Here is a 20779-nt window from a genome sequence, read left to right on the forward strand (position 1 = left end):
TGAGTCTCGCTCTGTCACCCAGACTGGAGTGCAGTGGCACAATCTCGGCTCACTGCAAGCTCCGCCTCCCGGGTTCACGCCATTCTCCTGCCTCAGCCTCCCAAGTAGCTGGGACTACAGGCACCCACCACCACGCCTGGCTCATTTTTTGTATTTTTTTAGTAGAGAGGAGTTTCACCGTGTTAGCCAGGATGGTCTCGATCTCCTGACCTCGTGATACGCCCGCCTCGGCCTCCCAAAGTGCTGGGATTACAGGCGTGAGCCACCGTGTCCAGCCTCCTTTTTTTCTTTAATCACATTCAGGCTTTTTGTTTTTTTAAATAGAGACAGGGTCTCGCTATGTCACCCAGGCTGGTCTTGAACTCCCGAGCTCAGGCAATCCTTTCACCTTGGCCTCCCAAAGTGCTGGGATTACAGACGTGAGCCACTGAGCCAGGCCAGGCCACTTTTAAGATGTTTATTGTGGTAGGCTGAACAATGGCTCCCCAGGAGGTATCTACATCCAAATTCCTAGGAGCTGTAAATGTTACCTTATATGTCAATAAATGACTTTGCAGATGTCATTCAATTATGGATTTTGAGATGGGGATTTTGAGATTATCCTGGATTATCCAGGTGGGCCTTAAAGGCAATCACATCATCTTTTTTTGAGATGGAGTCTCACTTTGTCCCCTGAGGTTGGAGTGCAGTGGCCCCATCTTGGCTCACTACAACCTCCGCCTCCCATGTTCAAGTGATTCTCCTGCCTCAACCTCCCGAGTAGCTAGGACTACAGGCATGCACAACCAGGCCCAGCTAATTTTTGTATTTTTAGTAGAGATGGGCTTTTGCCACGTTAGCCAGTCTGGTCTTCAACTCCTGACCTCAGGTGATCCACCTGCCTCAGCCTCCCAAAGTGTTGGGATTATAGGCGTGAGCCACCACGCCGAGCCAGGACATTATCCTTATATATAAAAGGCAGAGGCCAGGCGCCACTGGTGGCTCACGCCTGTAATCCCAGCACTTTGGGAGGCCGAAGTGAGTGGATCACCTGAGGTCAGGAGTTCGAGACCAGCCTGACCAATGTGGAGAAGCCCTGTCTCTACTAAAAACATAAAATTAGCTGGGTGCGGTGGTGCATGCCTATAATCCCAGCTACTTGGGAGGCTGAGGCAGGAGAATGGTGTGAACCTGGGAGGTGGAGCTGGCAGTGAGCCGAGATCACGCCACTGCACTCCAGTGACAGAGTGAGACTCTATCCAAAAAAAAAAAAAAAAAACTGACACAGGAAAAAAACACTCCAATAACTAATGAGAAGGTCATGTGACCATGGAGGCAGATTAGAGTAATGCAGCCACAAACCAAACCAAGGACTGCTGCTGCTGGTAGCCACTGAAAGCTGGAGGAGGCAGGGAATTCTTCCCTAGAGCCTCCGGAGGGAGAGCTGGCCCTGCCAGGTTGACATCCTGACTTCTCTGACTTCAGCTCAGTGATACTGATTTCTGACTTCTGGCCTTCAGAACTGTGAGAGAATAAATTTATGTAGTTTTAAGCCATCAAGTTTGTGGTAACTTGTTACAGCAGCCACAGGAAACTAGTTCATTTATCATACAGGTTTTGGAATAATGACTAGCATTTCTCCACTTCTGAGGTTTTCATTGCTTAGTCTAGCATTTCCAAAACACACCTAATAAGAATCAACCTGGTTGCTTGTTAAAAATACAGAATCTGGCTGGGCATGGTGGTTTACGCCTGTAATCCCAGCACTTTGGGAGGCTGAGGCGGGTGAATCACGAGGTCAGGAGATCGAGATCATCCTGGCTAACACAGTGAAACCCCGTCTCTACTAAAAATACAAAAAAATTAGCCGGGCGTGGTGGCGGGTGACTGAAGTCCCAGCTACTCCGGAGGCTGAGGCAGGAGAATGGCGTGAACCCAGGAGGCAGAGCTTGCAGTGAGCCAAGATAGCGCCACTGCACTCCAGCCTGGGCAAGAGCGAGACTCCATCTCAAAAAAACAAAAACAAAAACAAAAAACAGAATCTGGGGCCGCGTGTGGTGGCTCACGCCTGTAATACCAGCACTCTGGGAGCCCGAGGTGGGTGGATCACGAGGTCAGGAGTTCAAGACCAATGTGGCCAAGATGGTGAAACCCCGTCTCTTACTAAAAATACAAAAATTAGCTGGGCCTGGTGGCAGGTGCCTGTAATCCCAGCTACTCGGGAGGCTGAGGCAGCAAACTGCTTGAACCTGGGAGGCGGAAGTTGCAGTGAGGTGAGATGGTGCCACTGCACTCCAGCCTGGAAGACAGAGCGAGACTCCATCTCAACACAAAAACAAAAACAAAAACAAAAAAACAGAATCTGGCTGGGTGTAGCAGCTCACACCTATAATATTAACACTTTGGGAGGCTGAGGCGATTGGAACACTTGAGCTCAGGAGTTCAAGACCAATCTAGGCAACATGGCAAAACCCCATCTCTAAAAAAAAACCGAAAACAATAACCAAAACAAAAATTAGCCCAGCCTGGTGGGACACACCTGTAGTCCCAGCTAGCTGAGACAGGAGGATTGCTTGAACTCAGGAGGTCGAGGCTGCAGTGAGCCAAGAAACTGCCAATGCACTCCAGCCTGGGTGACAAAGTGAGACCCTGTCTCAAAAAAAAAAAACCAAAAAACTCCAAAACCAGAAACAGAATCCCAGGCCTATCAAAACAGGAACGTCAGGCAAAGGCCCTTAAAATCTGTAACCGAATACACCAGCAGACATTTTCAGGATTTTCCTTGCCTTTATATTCTGTCAAAATTTCCTCTCAGCTGTTAATATGTTGTTCTTAATATTTATATGAAATATTTTGGCCAGCCAAGGTGGCTCACGCGTGGAATCCCTGCACCTTGGGAGGCCAAGGCAGGAGGATCGCTTGAGCCCAGGAGTTTGAGACCAGCCTGGGCAACATAGCAAGACCTGTCTCTACAAAATAAAAAAATTAGCTGGGCATGGTGGCCCACATTTGTAGTCTCTGCTACTCAGGAAGCTGAGGCAGGAAGATCAAGAGTTTGAGGTTGCAGTGAGCTATGATGGCACCACTGCACTCCAGTCTCGTAAGACCCTATTTCAAAAATTTTTCTTCCAGATTTCCTATCTCTATGTACACTTTTGCTTTCAGATTTTTTTTTTTAACTACTGATCTATCAGTTTGGAAGCATACCTTTCAGAGATATCTACATTTGAGAAGATGTTATTTATTCTTCCAATTCAAGATTATTCCAAGTTATTAAAACAGTTCTTTCTCTTCCATTTCCTTATCCTTCTATACTAAATATACTGTTTCCCTTTATTGTTTAGTTTTTTTTTTGATAGCACAACACTTGGTTTCTTAAATGGTAACTTTTATCTATATAAAATATCCCTGTACTATCCACTTAACGGTTTTGGTCTTGAATTCTACTTATTTTGGCATAATTTACATACAATAAAATACAGATTTTCAGTATAAAGAGCTTTAACAAATATATAGGCCACCTACCATACTCACAGGCTTATGTGATCCTCCTGCCTCAGCCTCCTAAGCAATTGGGACCACAGGTGTACACCACCACATCTGGCTAATTATTATTATTTTTTAAGAGATAGGGTCTCCCTATGTTGCTCAGGCTGTTCTCGACCTCCTGGGCTTAAGTGATTCTCCCACCTCGGCCTCCCAAAGTGCTGGGATTATAGGCGTAAGCCACCGCACCTGGCTAAATTCTCTCTTGTATACCTTATTAAAGCATGTTATCCATTTATATATTGCCTTAAGAGCTATTAACTCAATCTACCATTTGTCTTCTCCTTTTCTTTTTTTTTCCCCTTGAGACAGAGTCTCGCTGTGTTGCCCAGGCTGGAGTGCAGCGGTGCAATCATTGCTCACTCTACTGTCAAACTCCTGGCTTAAGCAATCCCCTCCGTCCTCGGCCTCCCAAAGTGTTAGGATTACAGGCGTGAGCCTGTAATAGGACTTATGACTGGCCTAAGTCCTATTTCTAATAAACAAGATGTATAATGGAAAAGCCAGTCCCCAAAATAAAATCACCCCCCACCATCAGTATAAAATATCACTGAAAAGTTAACATGCTATCATGGTTCATCAATTCTAGATGCATATTTTTTATAACATATCTGAAATAGGAATGTCCTTTTTTATTTTTATTTTTTTGAGGCAGAGTCCCGCCCTGTCACCAGGCTGGAGTGCAGTGGCGTGATCTTGGCTCACTGCAATCTCCACCTCCAGGGTTCAAGTGATTCTCTTGCCTCAGCCTCCTGAGTAGCTGGGATTACAGGCATGTGCCACCACACCCAGCTAATTTTTGTATTTTTAGTAGAGAGGGGGTTTCACAATGTTGGCCAGGATGGTCTTGATCCCCTGACCTCATGATCCACCTGCTTCAGCCTCCCAAAGTGCTGGGATTACAGGTGTGAGCCACCATGCCCAGCCAGGAATGTCTTTCAATTGATGACAAATTACAATTTAACTAGCAACATTTTTTTTTCCTTAGTGGTACATAAAAGTCTTTCAATCAACTGCACCTTAAATCTGATAAAATATATTGTAGATTTTTTAATTTTAAAGAGACAGAGTCTTGCACTGCTACCCAGGTTGGAATGCGGTGGCACAATCATAGCTCATTTTAACCTTGAACTCCTGGGATCAAGCGATCATTCCATCTCAGCCTTCCAGGTAGCTGGGACTACAGGCACACATCACCATGCCCAGCTAATTTTTGAGATGGGATCTCACCATGTTGCCCAGGCTGGTCTTGAGCTCGTGGGTTCAAGTGATCCACCTCCTGACCCCGTTTGGCTTCCCGAACCACTGGTATTACAGGTGTGAGATTTAGTGTTCATTACATAAAATGTACACAAATTGTCCAGGCAGATTTTCTTCTCAGTTTAGCAAAAAGTCAATCATTTTAGAGGGTTTTATTAAGGACCGGAGTCAAGCAAACAACTTGTGTTTCATAAAAATTTAATCGGCTGGGTGTGGTGGCTCATGCCTGGCATCCCAGCACTTTGGGAGGCCGAAGAGGGAGGATCACAAAGTCAGGAATTTGAGACCAGCCTGGCCAACATGGTGAAACCTTGTTTCTACTAAAAATATAAAAAAGAAAAAAAAAATTAGCTGGGCGTGGTGTGGGCGCCTGTAATCCCAGCTACTCAGGAGGCTGAGGCAGGAGAATTGCTTGAATCCAGGAGGCGGAGGCTGCAGTGAGCCGAGATCGCACCACTGCACTCCAGCCTGGTCAAGAGAGCAAGACTGTCTCGGGTTAAAAAAATTTAATCAACTTTCTGTAACTAGTGAGTTCAGTTTGAAGAAATTTCTAATTAGATTACATTCAATGGCTTAATCTTTTTCTGGAACAATACACATTGATTGGACTGTCTTTTGTCAGAGGCTAGGTTAAACATGTGTGTCGCTGGTCAAGAGAAAGATTATGACAAAAAAATATGGATTAAGTAACATAAATGTACTATCATTAGAAGAACAATTTAAAGACTCTGACCTGTGACCTGTTGTTCCACATATAATTACTTAGTAAAAGGCTGGGCACAGTAGCTTATGCCTATAATACCAGTACGTTGGGAGGCCAAGGCAGAAGGATCACTTGTGGTCAGGAGTTCGAGACCAGCATGGGTAACATAGTGAGATCGTGTCTCCACAAAAAATTTAAAAATTAGCTGGGTGTAATGGTGCACATCTGTGGTCCCAGCTACTCAGGGGACTGAGGCTGCCGTGGGCTGTGATTGTGCCACTGCATTCCAGCCTGGGTGACAGAGTGAGACCCTGTCTCAAAAAAAAAAAAAAAAAAAAAAAAAAGACTTGGACCAGGCGCGGTGGCTCACGCCTGTAATCCCAGCACTTTGGGAGGCTGAGGCAGGCGGATCACGAGGTCAGGGGATCAAGACCATCCTGGCTAACACGGTGAAACCCCGTCTCTACTAAAAATACAAAAAATAAGCCGGGCGTGGTGGCGGGCACCTGTAGTCCCAGCTACTTGGGAGGCTGAGGCAGCAGAATCACTTGAACCCAGGAGGCAGAGCTTGCAGTGAGCCAAGATTGCACCACTGCACTCCAGCCTGGGGGACAGAGCAAGACTGCCTCCAAAAAAAAAAAAAAGACTTAGGAAGACATTCACTACTAGTTACTATACTGACTAGTGTACTATGAAGTATCTAGCTTAGAACATCCCTAAGACGTCAGTTGTTCATATTTTGACAGCAAAGCAAATGTAGAGAGATGGATGAGTGGATGGGATGGGGCAAAGAGGAAGGAAGAAAGAAAATAACTTTGACTCTTACAATAGTCTCCCAACTGATCTCTTACTTCAGCCCTTGCCCCTCATAAATTTATTCCCTACAGGGCCACTACTATGATATCATTAAACTAGAAATCATTTCTCTGCTTAAAATCTAAGGAGTTTCCACTTGAAGAAAAGCTGAATACCTTACAGTGGCCTACCAGGCACTATAAAATCTCCATCTGATATCATCTAATTTACCACTCCTCTGGCTCACTATAGTCCTGCCATGTGGCCTCCTTTTTGGGGAGGGGGGGATGGAGTCTTGCTCTGTCGCCAAGGCTGGAGTACAGTGGTGTGATCTCAGCTCACTGCAACCTCTGCCTTTCTGATTCAAGCAATTCTCCTGCCTCAGCCTCCCTAGTAGCTGGAATTACAGACGTGCGACACCATGCCCAGCTAATTTTTGTATTTTTAGTAGAGACAAGGTTTCACCATCTTGGCCAGGCTGGTCTCGAACTCCCAACCTCAGGTGATCCACCCACCTTGGCCTCTCAAGTGCTGGGATTACAGGCATGAGCCACTGCACCTGGCCCTCGTTTTTTGAACACACAAACATGCTGCCGTCTCAGGGAGTCTTTGCAACCGCTGGTTCCCTCTGCCTGGAACACTCTGCCCCCAGATACGTATCTGCACAGCTCACTTCCTTCAAGTCCTTAAGTCTTCCTCAGGAAGGCCTTTCCTAGCCACCCTATCTAAAAGTGCAGCTCAAACCATCCTCCCCTCCCAGCCCAAAAATCCCTACTCCTCCCTCATTTTTCTTCATAATGCCTATTCAAAACCTAATATACTTTACTTTTTAAAAATGTCTCTTCATGACTGTAATTCAGCTCCATGAAGACATGGGTTTTTGTCTGTTTTATTCATTGCTACATTCCCAATGGAAGTTCTCGACAAATATTTGTGGAATGTAAAGGAGGGAAGAGGAAAGAAAGAAAGGTGGTAACCACAACTGGGCTACAAAACTATTTTCAGGTAATTACAGTATGATCAATTAAAAACCCCATGATAGAAGTAAAATTTGATTGGCCAGGCGCAGTGGCTTATGCCTGTAATCCCAACACTTTGGGAGGCCAAGGTGGGCAGATCACAAGGTCAGGAGTCTGAGACCAGCCTGGCCAACATGGTGAAACCCCATCTCTACTAAAAATACAAAAATTAGCTGGGTGCAGTGGTGCATGCCTGTAGTCCCTGCTACTTGGGAGGCTGAGGCAGAAGGATCACTTGAACCCAGGAGGTGGAGGTTGCAGTGAGCTGATATCGCACCACTGCACTCCAGCCTCGGTAACAGAACACAACTCTGTCTCAAAAAAATATATATATATATATTTAGAGAGAGAGAGAGAGAGAGAGATAGAATAAATATAAACACTAGGCAATACAGTAATATGCGGCTATTTAATAAACTTTTTTTTCAGCACTTATACGCAAACACTGTCCCAGGTATTGTGAAAGATTTAAAGTGAACAAAAAGCCCTGCCTTCAAGAAATCTGTTTGCAATGAGGAAGACAATCAATCTTATGTAATATAAAATTAACTGCTTCCTGCTTTCTCCCCACCACTTTTACCACATGTACAATGTAACCTCATCAACACCTCCAGTCCTGTGACCTTTCCATTTATTTCCAGTCTGTCGGCACTCCCTCTGCTTCACTCCATGAATGCCATTCCAATACCTTTCCTGCTGGTCCCTTCAACTCTCACTGCTCTTTTACCATACCTGGCTCACAAATTCCCATACTCAGGATCTACTTATCTTTTATTTATTTATTTTTTTATAGAGATGAGGTCTCACTATGCTGCCCAAGCTAGACTTGAACTCCTGGGCTCAAGCGATCCTCCCACCTTAGCCTCTCAAATGCTGGGATTACAGGCATGAGCCACCTGACCTCAAGATCAATATAATCGTCAACTTTTACATTTGGGCTGCTGAGTATGGCTAGAGAAAAGTCACCATTGTTTGTACTGTTCCATTTCAAATTAATGGTCTCCAAATTGCATATGCTCTTTGAAAACCACTCAGCAGTCCAGTCCTGTGCAACTCTGCTCAGCTCCTCTTTTGATTCCCTGCAGCAACAATTCCAACTTTTACTACCACATTACACCCCACCCTCAACAAGTGAACTTGCCTCCTCCAGCCCAGAGAAATAAATGCCAGCAGCTGTTTATTCTCTCAGGCCCACCAACACATCTTTTTACAAATAAATTTTGCCTCACAGCTGGTCATGGTGGCACACGCCTGTAGTCCCAGCTACTTGGGAAGCTGAGGTGGGAGGATCACTTGAGCCCCAGGAGGTCGAGGCTGCAGTGAGCTGTGATGGTGCCACTACATGCCAGCCTGGGCAACAGAGCAAGACTATGTCAAAAAACAAAAACAAAAACAAAATTCTTTACATGAGTACCTAATTTCCAAACCAATGATATTTTTCAGTCTTCTTGGCCTCTATGCAGTATTCTGCCTTGGTATCATTCTGACCACTCCTTTCTTAAAACTATCTCAACCTTTAAAACAAAAAAATCATTATTTTTAAAACTGGACATGGGGCCGGGCATGGTGGCTCACGCCTGTAATCTCAGCACTTTGGGAGGCTGAGGCAGGAGGATCACTTGAGGCCAGGAGTTTGAGACCAGCCTGGGCAACATAGCGAAACCCTGTGTCTACTAAAAATACAAAAATTAGTTGGGCGTGGTGGTGCATGCCTGTAATCCCAGCTACTCAGGAAGCTGAGACACAAGAAACTGCTTAAATCCGGGAGGGAGAAGTTGCAGTGAATTGAGATGGTGCCACTGCACTCCAACCTGGGTGATAAAGTGAGACTCCCTCAAAAAAAAAATAAAAAATAAAAAATGGTGACGGGCGTCTCACTCTGTCACCCAGGCTGGAATGCAGTGGTACAATCATAGCTCATTACAGCCTCAAACTCCTGTGATCAAGCAATCTTCCTGCCTCAGCCTCCCAAGTAGCTAGGACTAAATGCATGTGTGACCACACCCTGTTAATTTTTAGTTTTTGTAGAGAGAGGATCTCTCTACAGACCCCAGACTGGTCTCAAACTCCTGGGCTCAAGTGATCCTCTTGCCTCAGCCTCTCAGAGTGCTAGGATTATAGACATGAGCCACTGCGTCAGCTTCTCTCAACTTCTGAAGCCTCCTCTGATTCGCCTCCTACCCCTCTCAGCCCCATTAACCAATCATCTTTGCTCTGGTCCTTAAATGCTGGTTTCCCTTGGGTGCTAGCTAATATTGGAAATATCAGCCATTCTCAACTAATAATTCCTAATTATATCCCCAATTTAGACTTTTTATTCTAAGTTCCCAATTTGAATTTCAAGTTACCAACTAGACATAGCCACCTGGATGTATTCACTTATTAAACAACTGAGTGCCCTCAATGTATCAAGCACTGTCCTACATGTTAGGGAGACAGCAGTGAAGAGACACAATCCTCAGCCTTACAGATCTTACATTCTAGTTTGGTGGGGGCAGGTTAGATGCCTCACAGGCACTTTAAATCCAACATACGTGGAACCAGACTTATGACCTAACCTCTAACCCTGTTCTTCCTTCCTACATTCTATGTTTTCTCCTTCTCCCTTGCCCAGCCCATGTATTACTTATTCAGTCACTATGTCCTGTCTATTCTATCTCCTAAACATCTCTTTACTACATCCCTTCCTTCATCCCTCTTCCACTGCCTTAGTTCTACCTTTGTCATTTCTCATCTGGACTGCTGCATTAGCCTGTTAACTGGTTTCTTTGTTTTCTGAAAGGAAGCATCAATCTATCCTCAATATTAGAATAATCTACAATGTTTTTTCACCTGGGCATGTCTTTCCTTTTTTTTTTTTTTTTTTTTTTTTGAGATGGAGTTTCACTCTTGTCGCCCAGGCTGGAGTGCAGTGGCGTGATCTTGGCTCACTGCTACCTCTGCCTCCTGGGTTCAAGCGATTCTCCTGCCTCAGTTTCCCTAGTAGCTGGGATTACAGGCACCTACCGTCACACCTGGCTAATTTTTTTTGTATTTTTAGTACAGTTGGGGTTTCGTCACGTTGGCCAGGCTGGTGTTGAACTCCTTACCTCAGGTGATCCGCCCACCTCGGCCTCCCATAGTGCTGGGATTATAGGCATGAGCCACTGCACCCGGCCTGGGCATGTCTTTCCTAGCTTAAAATTCCTCAGTACTGGCCGGGCACGGTGGCTCATGCATGTAATCCCAGCACTTTGGGAGGCCGAGGTGGGTGGATCACGAGGTCAGGAGATCGAGACCTTCCTGGCTAACACCGTGAAACCCCATCTCTACTAAAAATACAAAAAGAAATTAGCTGGGCGTGGTGGCGGGCACCTGTAGTCCCAGCTACTCGGGACGCTGAGGCAGGAGAATGGCGTGAATCCGGGAGGCGGAGCTTGCAGTGAGCCGAGATCGTGCCACTGCACTCCAGCCTGGGCAATAGAGCAAAAAAAAAAAAAAAAAAAAGATTCCTCAGTACTTCCCACTGCCTGGAGTCTTTCACTATGCACTACATACTCTGTACTAGCTGCATGTACCTTTGCAACCTCTGCTCCAGTAAGAACAAGTGCTCTAGGAGGAACCAAATTACCAACACATGCCATCCTCCCTGTTGGAAAGCAGACCAATAGCACAGTGGTTAAGAGCCAGGCCCTAGAGCTAGATTGCCTATTTGACCACAGCTCCTACCGGCTGTATGACCTTGGGCAAGTTATTTAATGTCTCTGCAACTCAGTTTTCCTTTCCCAAATAGGAATAACAGTAGGTGTATTTCATAGGGATTTGAGAATTGAGTTTATATGGAAAGTCCCTGACATGCAGTGAATGCATGTAAGTGTGTAACTATCATTATGTCTTTACTACTACCCCTTCCCCTAAAGTTGAACACTTTTACTTTGTACTCCCATACACTTCATTGCAAGGGATTATAACTCTATCTCCTTCACTACACTGTGATGGTCTCAGGGCAGGAACTTTGTCTTATTGATCTTTTTAATCCTCAGCCAACATAATATATGTCACATTTTTATGTGAAGTAACTATCAATAAATGTGGCATGTGTTTAAGCTAAAAAGTGTGCAGGTGCAAAACAAAATGCAAGCATCTGGGCCAAATTCAAGTTGAATTTGAAGCGAAAGAAAAGGTGAGGGGGAAAAAAAACACTGAAATGCATGCATAAAACAGACAGTCAAGTGTAGACGTACTTGGGCAATGGGGAGTAGACTAGAATATGGGGGAGGGGATATTGAGAAATGAAGCCAGTCAGAAAAGGTTATGAACAGAGTTGAATGTTAGCCTAAGGAGTTTGGACCTTACCCCCCAAAAAAAGGGGTCCAAGGAAGTCCTTTTCACTAACGTGCTATATGGTTTAATCATTTTAGTAATATAAGTAATTTGACGACTGAATTGGAAAGTAGAAAGACTAAAGACAGAGACTAAGGAGAGGTACTGCTACTATCCAAGCAGGAAGAAGCAAGGAGCTTAAATGGAACCAAGCACATGAAAGATGGGATAAACAACATTTCCAAGGTGAAATTAACTGGCCTCAATGACTGTTCTGATATAAAGATGAAGGATATGACTCAGAGGTTTCTTGCCGGCACAACTGGAAAGTGATGCTATTAATGAAGATAAGGAATACAAAGGTAGGAGCAAGGCTACGAGTACAGGAGAACAAGTAGTTACTCCACCTAAAGTAATTCTTGAAAACAATAAACATATTATTTAGAACTGAAATCAAGTGCAAAGAGAATCATGCCATCACTCTGGCATGCACTGTTCTTATTTAACAAGCACATCAGAAAAAAAATGTGTCCAATTCAAAGGGCTCATTTGTGTACTAAATAATATGTTACTGTCCTTTATTTGGGGGAGGAAAAACCTATTATATAGAGGTAGGGCTAAAGAGATGAAAATGTGGCCAATATTTTTCAACACTATGTATTCTTGAAGCCTGCTTTTTAAATTTCTCACAAAACAATATTTTCCTTTTTTTTTGAGACAGTTTCGCTCTTGTCGCCCAGGCTGGAGTGCAATGGCACAGTCTCGGCTCACTGCAACCTCTGCCTCCTGGGTTCAAGTGATTTTCCTGCCTCAGCCTCCCAAGTAGCTGGGATTACAGGCACCAGCCATCACGCCCGGCTAATTTTTGTATTTTTAGTAGAGATGGGGTTTCACCATGTGGGCCAGGCAGGTCTTTAACTCCTGACCTCAGGTGATCTGCCCATCTCGGCCTCGCAAAGTGCTGGGATTACATGCATGAGACACTGCGCCTGGCCAAAACAATGTTTTCTTAGGGCACTAAGATTCTGTTCTAATCGAAATATCATGATGAAAATGTACAGCTGCTTAAAGATTTATTTTAAAACACTGACTTTAATTTTGCTTACTTGTAGCTGGACGCTGTGGCTCACACCTGTAATCCCAGCACTTTGGGAGGCTGAGGAGGGTGGATCATGAAGTCAAGAGATCAAGACCATCCTGGCCAACATGGTGAAACCTCGTCTCTACTAAAAATACAAAAATTAGCTGGGCGTGGTGGCGTGCACCTGTAGTCCCAGCTACTCAGGAGGCTGAGGCAGGAGAATAGCTTGAACTTGGGAGCCAGAGGTTGCAGTGAGTCAAGGTCGCACCACTGCACTCCAGCCTAGCGACAGAGCAAGACTCCGTCTAGGAAAAAAAAAAAAATTTTTTTTGCTTACTTGCTGCTTTACATGAAATGCTAGTTATTATTTTTGAATGTGCTGTCCCCTTTGCAACTTGTATCAATATGTACTTCATGCTTTTTCTGTCAAAATTCCCCTTTCTTTTCGAGACAGAGTCTCGCACTGTTGCCCAGGCTGGAGTGCAATGGCACGCTCTCAGCTCACTGCAACCTCCGCCTCCTGGGTTCCAGTGATTCTCCCGCCTCAGCCTCCCGAGTAGGTGGGATTACAGGTGCCCGCCACCATGCCCAGCTAATTTTCTGTATTTTTAGCAGGGACAGGGTTTCACTATGTTGGTCAGGCTGGTCTCGAACTCCCGACCTCGTGATCCACCCACCTCTGCCTCCCAAAGTGTTGGGATTATAGGAGTGAGCCACTGTGACCAGCCAAGACTCCCTTTCTTAAAAGGCTCAACAAGATGATCTAAACTAAAAATGCAATGCCTAAAAGTTCTAATTATGGTAATCTATTTCTATCAGGACAAACACAATGTAAGGAAATTTAAACAGGCCAGATATTTCTATTCCTAAAATGAGGAAATAGCAGGATAACTTTCTGCAGCAGTAATCAAATTTCAGTGCACAAACAGAAACTCCTTGGGTGCTGGTCAAAAAAGCAGTTATCGGCCGGGCGCGGTGGCTCACACCTGTAATCCCAGCACTTTGGGAGGCCGAGGCGGGCAGATCCCCTGTGGTCAGGAGTTTGAGACCAGCCTGGCCAACATGGTGTAACCCTGTCTCTACTAAAAATACAAAAAAATTAGCCAGGCCTGGTGGCGGGCACCTATAATCCCAGCTACTCAGGAGGCTGAGACAGGAGAATCACCTTAACCCGGGAGGTGGAGGTTGCAGTGAGCCAAGATTGCCACTGCACCCCAGCGTGGGCAACAGAGCGAGACCCTGTCTCAAAAAAAATTTAAAAAAAAAATGCAGTTATCTGCCCATATGTAGAGGTGGGGCTGAAGAGATCAAAGTGTGACCAACAGTTTTCAATACTGTGTATTCCCTACCCTAAGAGATTCTGATTTAGTGAGGAGGTGACACCCAGAAACTTTCATTTTGATTTTCAAATGCACCAGGTAATTCTAATGCAAGTATTTCAAGGCCACTTTGAGAAACCTGTGCAGTGGCTCTGATATCAGAAATGTGTTTTAAAGTCCAGCTCTCCCATTTGTTGCTGTGTGACCTCAGACTACTAACTTAGTTTCTCTGAAGTTCGGATTTCTCATTAGAAAAAGGGGGATACTAAAGGCTTTAGAGGGATGATGAAATATAATGAAATATAAATATAATGAAACAATGATTATGCTGTGCCCACCTATAATTTTATAATTATTATGATTCACCCAGTTCCACGGGACAAAAATAAGGAAGAACTGGGTAAGTGTATATATCCATCCTGATGTTCTAAAAGCATTCTAATTCAGGTTTTTTTCCATTTCCATATTAAAATTTTCATCTACAGGATTCTATAAGAACATCACAGTCAGGAGTGCTCTTTTGTCTTCCTCTCCCTTTAATTTTGTAATACATGAAAAAGTCTCTGGGGCCAGGCACGGTGGCTCACGCCTGTAATTCCAGCACTTTGGGAGGCCGAGGCAGGCAGATCACAACGTCAGGAGATCTAGACCATCCTGGCTAACAAGGTGAAACCCCGCCTCTACTAAAAAAAAAAAAAAATGCAAAAAATTAGCCGGGCACGGTCGCGCACTCCTGTAGTCCCAGCTACTCAGGAGGCTAAGGCAGGAGAATGGCATAGCATGAACCCAGGAGGCAGAGCTTGCAGCGAGCTGAGATCACGCCACTGCACTCCAGCCTGGGCAACAGAGCGAGACTCCATTTCAAAAAAAAAAAAAGAGAAAGTTTCTGGACAAATTACTTAAGGGCTTCCAGTTTCATGAGCAAATCTTTCTGAAGGCATAAAGCCATGAACACAAATATTCACCAAAAAATACTTTTCACAACATCAACATACTCAAAAATTAGTATTTTTACTGAACATTATTAAGATCCTCCAAGAAAGCAAATCCTGTTTGCTTGTGCTAGTAGACACCAAAAATAGGACATAAAGTTATCTAAAGGTCATATGCTTTATATTTAGAATAATTAGTTTAATTGTGCTATAATCAACTCCTCATACTTCATTAAGTAACTCTGCTAGTTTCCGCTATTTTAAAACCCGAAATACAATTTTAAAAATTTTTTTAGAGACAGGACCTCACTCTGTCACCCTGGCTCTCTCAAGCCATAGCTCATTGTTCTCAAGCTCTCAGCCTCTCAAATAGCTAGGACTACAGGTATATACCACCAAGCTTGCCTAAGTTTAAAAAAAAATTGTTGGCCAGGCGCGGTGGCTCACGCCTGTAATCCCAGCACTTTGGGAGGCAGAGGCGGGCGGATCACGAGGTCAGGAGATCGAGACCATCCTGGCTAACACGGTGAAACCCCGTCTCTACTAAAAATACAAAAAAATTAGCCAGGTGCGGTGGCGGGCGCCTGTAGTCCCAGCTACTCAGGAGGCTGAGGCAGGACAATGGCGTGAATCCGGGAGGCGGAGCTTGCAGTGAGCCAAGATAGCACCACTGCAGTCGGGCCTTCGGCCTGGGCGAAAGAGCGAGACTCCGTTTCAAAAAAAAAAAAAATTGTTTTTTCTTTTTTTTCTTTTTTTGAGATGGAGTTTTGCTCTTGTTGCCCAGGCTGGAGTGCAATGGTGCAATCTCAGCTCACTGCAACCTCCACCTCCCAGGTTCCAGTGAATGAATCCAGTGATTCTCCTGCCTCAGCCTCTGAAGTAACTGGAATTACAGGCATGCGCCACCATGCCCAGCTAATTTTTGTATTTTTAGTAGAGACAGGGTTTCACCATGTTGGTCAGGCTGGTCTCGAACTCCTGACCTCAGGTGATCCACTCACTTCGGCCTCCCAAAGTGCTGGGATTACAGGCGTGAGCCACCGTGCCTGGTCTTAAAATTTTTAGGTACAGATGAGGTCTTGCTATGTTGCCCAGGCTGATCTTGAATTCCTGCCTTAAACAATCCTCTTGCCTCGGCCTCCCAAAATGCTGGGATTAAAGGTGTGAGCCATTGTGCCTGGCCGAAACTAAAAATCTTACCAACAACTAGTAATTCTATATGATGCTTTTGCTCTAACCTGAAATTCTAAATAATGCCTTTGTTTACACTGAGAAATTAATTTATAAAAGTATGCAGCACCTTCTCCATCTTTCTTACTATTTAAAAGCTCGGCTGGGCACAGTGACTCACGCCTATAATCGCAGGAGGATCACTTAGGCCCAGGAGTTTGACACTGGCCTGGGCAACATGGTGAGACCCTGTCTCTATAAAAACAAACAGGCCGGGCGTGGTGGCTCACGCCTATAATCCCAGCACTTTGGGAGGCCGGGGTGGGTAGATCACGAGGTCTGGAAATCGAGACCATCCTGGCTAACATGATGAAACCCCGTCTCTACTAAAAATACAAAAAATTAGCCGGGCGTGGTGGCGGGCGCCTGTAGTCCCAGCTACTCGGGAGGCTGAGGCAGGAGAATGGCGTGAACCCGGGAGGCGGAGCTTGCAGTGAGCCAAGATAGCGCTACTGCACTCCAGTCTGGGTGACAGAGCAAGACTCCGTCTCAAAAAGCCAACAAACAAAAACCCAGCTAGGCATGGTGGCCCGTGCCAGTAGTCCCAGCTACTTGGGAGGCTGAGGTGGGAGGATCACTTAAGCCCAGGAGGTCAAGGCTGCAGTGAGCTATAACCATGCCACTGCACTCCAGCCTGGGCAACAAAGGGAGATACTGTCTCATAAAACCAAATAAATAAATAAAAGTTTTATAAAAGTCATCAGTTCATACTAACTACCTCATCTGTTATTACAAACAGCAATAACATCCCACAATATTTTATCACCTACCAAATATGCACTAACAGATGTCTCTCTCACATTAAAACGGATAAGAAAAAGCAAAAGGGAAAACTGAAGTGCAGGCTGTGAAATGTGAAGGAACCATGGAACCTTGCTGAATGGTAATTATCATATATCAACATTTTCCAAGTGCTCACTTGTACAAGGGACTATAAAGATTACCACCCTTCAGCCAAGGAAAAAGGGGGTGGAGAGTGGGGTGGGAGGGAGGAATCAGAGCCCGGAAGGCTCTTTCTGAAGTAGAATGCAACTAACCTCAGAACACCAAGGGCAGAATGGAGGTTATCAAAGGCCTGGCGGAGTGTGTATGTGGGGGGTGAGTGGGTGGAGCGTCGATGTTGGTCAAAGGGTACATACTTGAAATTTGCTTAGATCTCAAATGTTCTCACACAAAAAAAAATGGTAACTAGGTGAGGTGATGGATATGTCAGGTTGATTTTGGTACTCATTTCACAATGTATTCGTGTATTAAAATATAATGTATACCTTAAGTATATACAATTATCAACAGTATTTGTCAATATACCTCAAAGAAGCTAAGGGGGAATAAAACACCAAGGAAATCCTGCCAAAGACAGGATTTGTTGGATATTAGAAAAAGTAAAGATACCATGGGCTACCTGCACTTTGCATAATCTAGTAGGGCACTGGACAGGAGTTGATTCGGCTACTATAAAAATCCTTGCAAAATGGTAATGTAGACTACACCTGTACTATTTGAGAGAGACAGAAGGGTGGGCGGGAGCAAGTTCGAGATGTCCACACCGGGTGAAAATTGAGGGTGCCGCTGGGAAGGTCCGAGAATGGGTTTTCATGGCCCCAAAGTGTCGAGGGAGGGTGGGGGCGTTCCATCTCCCGCCTCCATTTCCACTTCGCCACCTGCACCCCGCCCCGCGTGGGAGTGGAGGTCCACCAGAAGGCCCGAACAGCGGCGGGGGACAAGAAAGCGGCCGCGGGTCCCCGGGAATCGGAGCCGAGCGGCCCCTAGGGAGGAAGGGCTGCGGGAGGGTGGGGCGCGGTGCAGCGAGGAAACCGAAAGGAGGACTACGGGGAGGGAGTGCCGCGCGGCTGGGGACCCATCCCCGTACCACACCCGGGGACCCAGGATGGGGAAGGAGGGTCCAGGGTCCCGCGAGCGAAAGGAAGGCAGAACTTACTCCGCGGTCCTCTTCTGAGAGGAAGTCCGGGCCGTCGTCCAGGCCTTCCTGTGGGGTCGGCGGGCACGGCGCGCCGGGGAAAAGGATGAGATGGGGGAGACACAAAGGGAGACATTAGTGACAGGCTGGCGCGGTCCCCGCGCCCGCCCCGCGCCCGCTGCCCCCACCGCGCTCCCGGGACTCGGCGCCGCGGAGAACACCCACCATCATGGCTGCTCCGAGGCGAGGGCCGGCGCAGGCGCGCATCTCCCTGCTGCCGGAGGGAGCCGGCGGCCAGGAGCGGGGCGGGGCGGGGCGGAGGCGAAGGGGCGGGGCCTAAGGACGGCCCGCCCCGTCCCCGGCGCTGGTCGCTCGAGTCCGTGAGCGAGGAAGGTTAACAGGGCCTTCTGCCCAAGGTCAAGGCACCGAAGTCGGGAGAGCCTGAAGACCCAGACCTCATGGCTGGGGGCACCTCGCAGCTGGCGGGCTCTGACCAGGGAAGGGCCAAAGGCCACCCAGGGAGCTCTCCAGTTCCCCTGCCCCGAGGGCTCCAGCGAAAAACGATGCAGGCGCCCTCCGGAAGCCATAATACATCATCTGGTCTTTGTATTATGCCACACGATAATTAATCACAATTAATATCATTTTGCCTATGGAAGTTGCTGGAAACAAGGACCTTCACACAGTCGGTAATCAGGGACTATAATCAAGCTTTTACCGCTGGCGAGGTAATAACTACCTCAGAGTTTGGGGCACTAATGGTTGCGAACTATAAAAATGAGCTGTTTTCATTACAAAAATATTCCTTTCCTTTGTTAGAAGAAATTTCCCCACACCTACTCTAACTGTCCAGGTGGTTAGCATCACACGGGATCCACAGGCATTTCAAATAACGGGAGAAAATCATACTTAATCCTAGAATCTACACGTTCCTGAGCTTGCATTCAGTTAAGGAAAGGCATCTTCAGATGTTCAGACCAGAAACCCTTAACCCATTGAAATCCGTACTCTAGGGGCCGGGCGCTGTGGCTCACGTCTCTAATTCCAGCACTTTGGGAGGCCAAGGCGGGCGGATCACCTGAGGTCAGGAGTTTGAGACCATCCTGGCTAACATGGTGAAACCCCGTCTCTACTAAAAATACAAAAATTAGCCGGGCGTGGTGGCGCGTGCCTGTAATCTCAGCTACTTGGGAGGCTGAAGCAAAAGAATCGCTTGAACCTGGAAGGCAGAGGTTGCAGTGAGCCGAGATTGCACCACTGCACTCCAGCCTGGGCAACAGAGCAAGACTCTGTCTCAAAAAAAGAAAGAAATAAATCCTTATCTCCCTTACTCCTCATATCCAACCAAATCCTATGGCTTCTACAATTGATTGTCCTTCATACCTCTTTTTTTTTTTTTTTTGAGACAGAGTCTCGCTCTGTCGCCCAGGCTGGAGTGCAGTGGTGCGATCTCGGCTCACTGTAAGCTCCACCTCCAGGGTTCACGCCATTCTCCTGCCTCAGCCTCCCGAGTAGCTGGGACTACAGGTGTGTGCCACCACACCCGGCTAATTTTTTTGTATTTTTAGTAGGACAGGATTTCACCATGTTAGCCAGGAAGGTCTTGATCTCCTGACCTCATGATCCGCCCGCCTCGACCTCCCAAAGTGCTGGGATTACAGGTGTGAGCCACTGCGCCCAGCCCATACCTCTTTAATTAGTCCAATTTTTCCAGTTCTCACAGCAATTACCATCAACTCTCGTCTACACCTTTGCAATACTCTCCTGACTCCACTATTTTCCATCACTTTATCCTATTTTACACACTGCTGCCAGTTTTCCTCCTAAAACACAGATATTGATGATTATGCTACTACCCTGTTCAGTAATCTTTACAAGCCCCCATTACATAACGATTCAATTCCTCAGCCTACGATTTCAAGCCTTCTACATTTGAATCCCTCTCTACTCTGCCAGGCCCTCCATCCTATTTTATTGAAGTGAAGCTCTCAAAACAATATTAAACTTAACTGATATTTTGGCCGGACGCAGTGGCTCACACCTGTAATCCCAGCACTTTGGGAGGCCAAGGGGGGCAGATCATCTGAGGTCAGGAGTTCAAGACGAGCCTGGCCAACATGGTGAAACCTCATCTCTACTAAAAATACAAAAATTAGCTGGGTGAGGTGGTGCGCACCTGTAATCCCAGCTACTCGGGAGGCCAAGGCAGGAGAATTGCTTGAACTCGGGAGGCAGAGGTTGCAGTGAGCCAAGATCATGCCACCACACTCCAGCCTGGGTGACAGAGACTGCGTCTCAAAAAGAAAATAATAAATAAAAATTAAAAATTTAAAAAAACCACTTAACTGATATTTTCATAAGAACTTCTTGTAGCTTTCATTTTGTATGTAAGGAGAACTGAAGTATAGAGAGGTTAAGTTACTGCTCCAACAAAGGTTACTCTACGAAATGGGGGGCGGGGAAGGGACTTTATTTTTTGTCTTTTGTTTCTTGTTTCCCAGCGCATTGTGGTGACTACTAAAGTAGTCTTTTTCACTGGGAGTCATGAGGCATCATGTGGTGTCATTGTAGTGTGATGAAGTGTCGGGAGGAATGTTCCAGTAATTTGTTACCTACTAAAAGTGCCACTATTTCCTATTGGTTTGTTTTTAGATTAAAGGTAATGTCTGCAAAGCTCTTCCTAGGTGGAGAGAGA

The 20779-nt window shown here is 45.9% G+C and overlaps 1 protein-coding gene across 6 annotated transcripts in view, besides 3 other annotated features; it reads right to left on the reverse strand.

Annotated features, from left to right (window-relative positions):
- The window catches only part of SNX6 (sorting nexin 6), a 69056-nt gene extending 50709 nt beyond the window's left edge, over positions 1-18347 (reverse strand). For 5 of the 6 annotated variants that reach the window (NR_159358.1, NR_159357.1, NM_001366519.1 and 2 more), the window contains exons 1-2: positions 18310-18347; positions 18106-18153 (exon numbers count right to left, since the gene is read on the reverse strand). Coding sequence is in view for 3 of the 6 variants with exons in the window: in NM_001366519.1 (NP_001353448.1) it covers positions 18106-18153; positions 18310-18315 (54 nt within the window). In the remaining 3 variants the exon portion in view is untranslated. Of the gene's footprint in view, positions 1-18105 lie in introns of all 6 variants that reach the window. The other variant, NM_021249.5, reaches the window with a different exon arrangement.
- Positions 11762-12056: a silencer, noted in NCBI's record as "tiled region #6350; HepG2 Repressive non-DNase unmatched - State 17:Gen3', and K562 Repressive non-DNase unmatched - State 16:ElonW". NCBI's record gives its function as "represses a minimal TATA promoter and a strong SV40 promoter by Sharpr-MPRA in HepG2 and K562 cells {active_cell/tissue: HepG2 | K562}" and the evidence as "EXISTENCE:reporter gene assay evidence [ECO:0000049][PMID:27701403]".
- Positions 18101-18450: a silencer, noted in NCBI's record as "silent region_5666". NCBI's record gives its function as "represses an Ori minimal core promoter by ATAC-STARR-seq in GM12878 lymphoblastoid cells {active_cell/tissue: GM12878}" and the evidence as "EXISTENCE:reporter gene assay evidence [ECO:0000049][PMID:35858748]".
- Positions 18621-18670: an enhancer, noted in NCBI's record as "active region_8255". NCBI's record gives its function as "activates an Ori minimal core promoter by ATAC-STARR-seq in GM12878 lymphoblastoid cells {active_cell/tissue: GM12878}" and the evidence as "EXISTENCE:reporter gene assay evidence [ECO:0000049][PMID:35858748]".

This window comes from Homo sapiens, chromosome 14 (genome assembly GCF_000001405.40).
Source record: "Homo sapiens chromosome 14, GRCh38.p14 Primary Assembly".
NCBI classification, from domain to species: domain Eukaryota; kingdom Metazoa; phylum Chordata; class Mammalia; order Primates; family Hominidae; genus Homo; species Homo sapiens.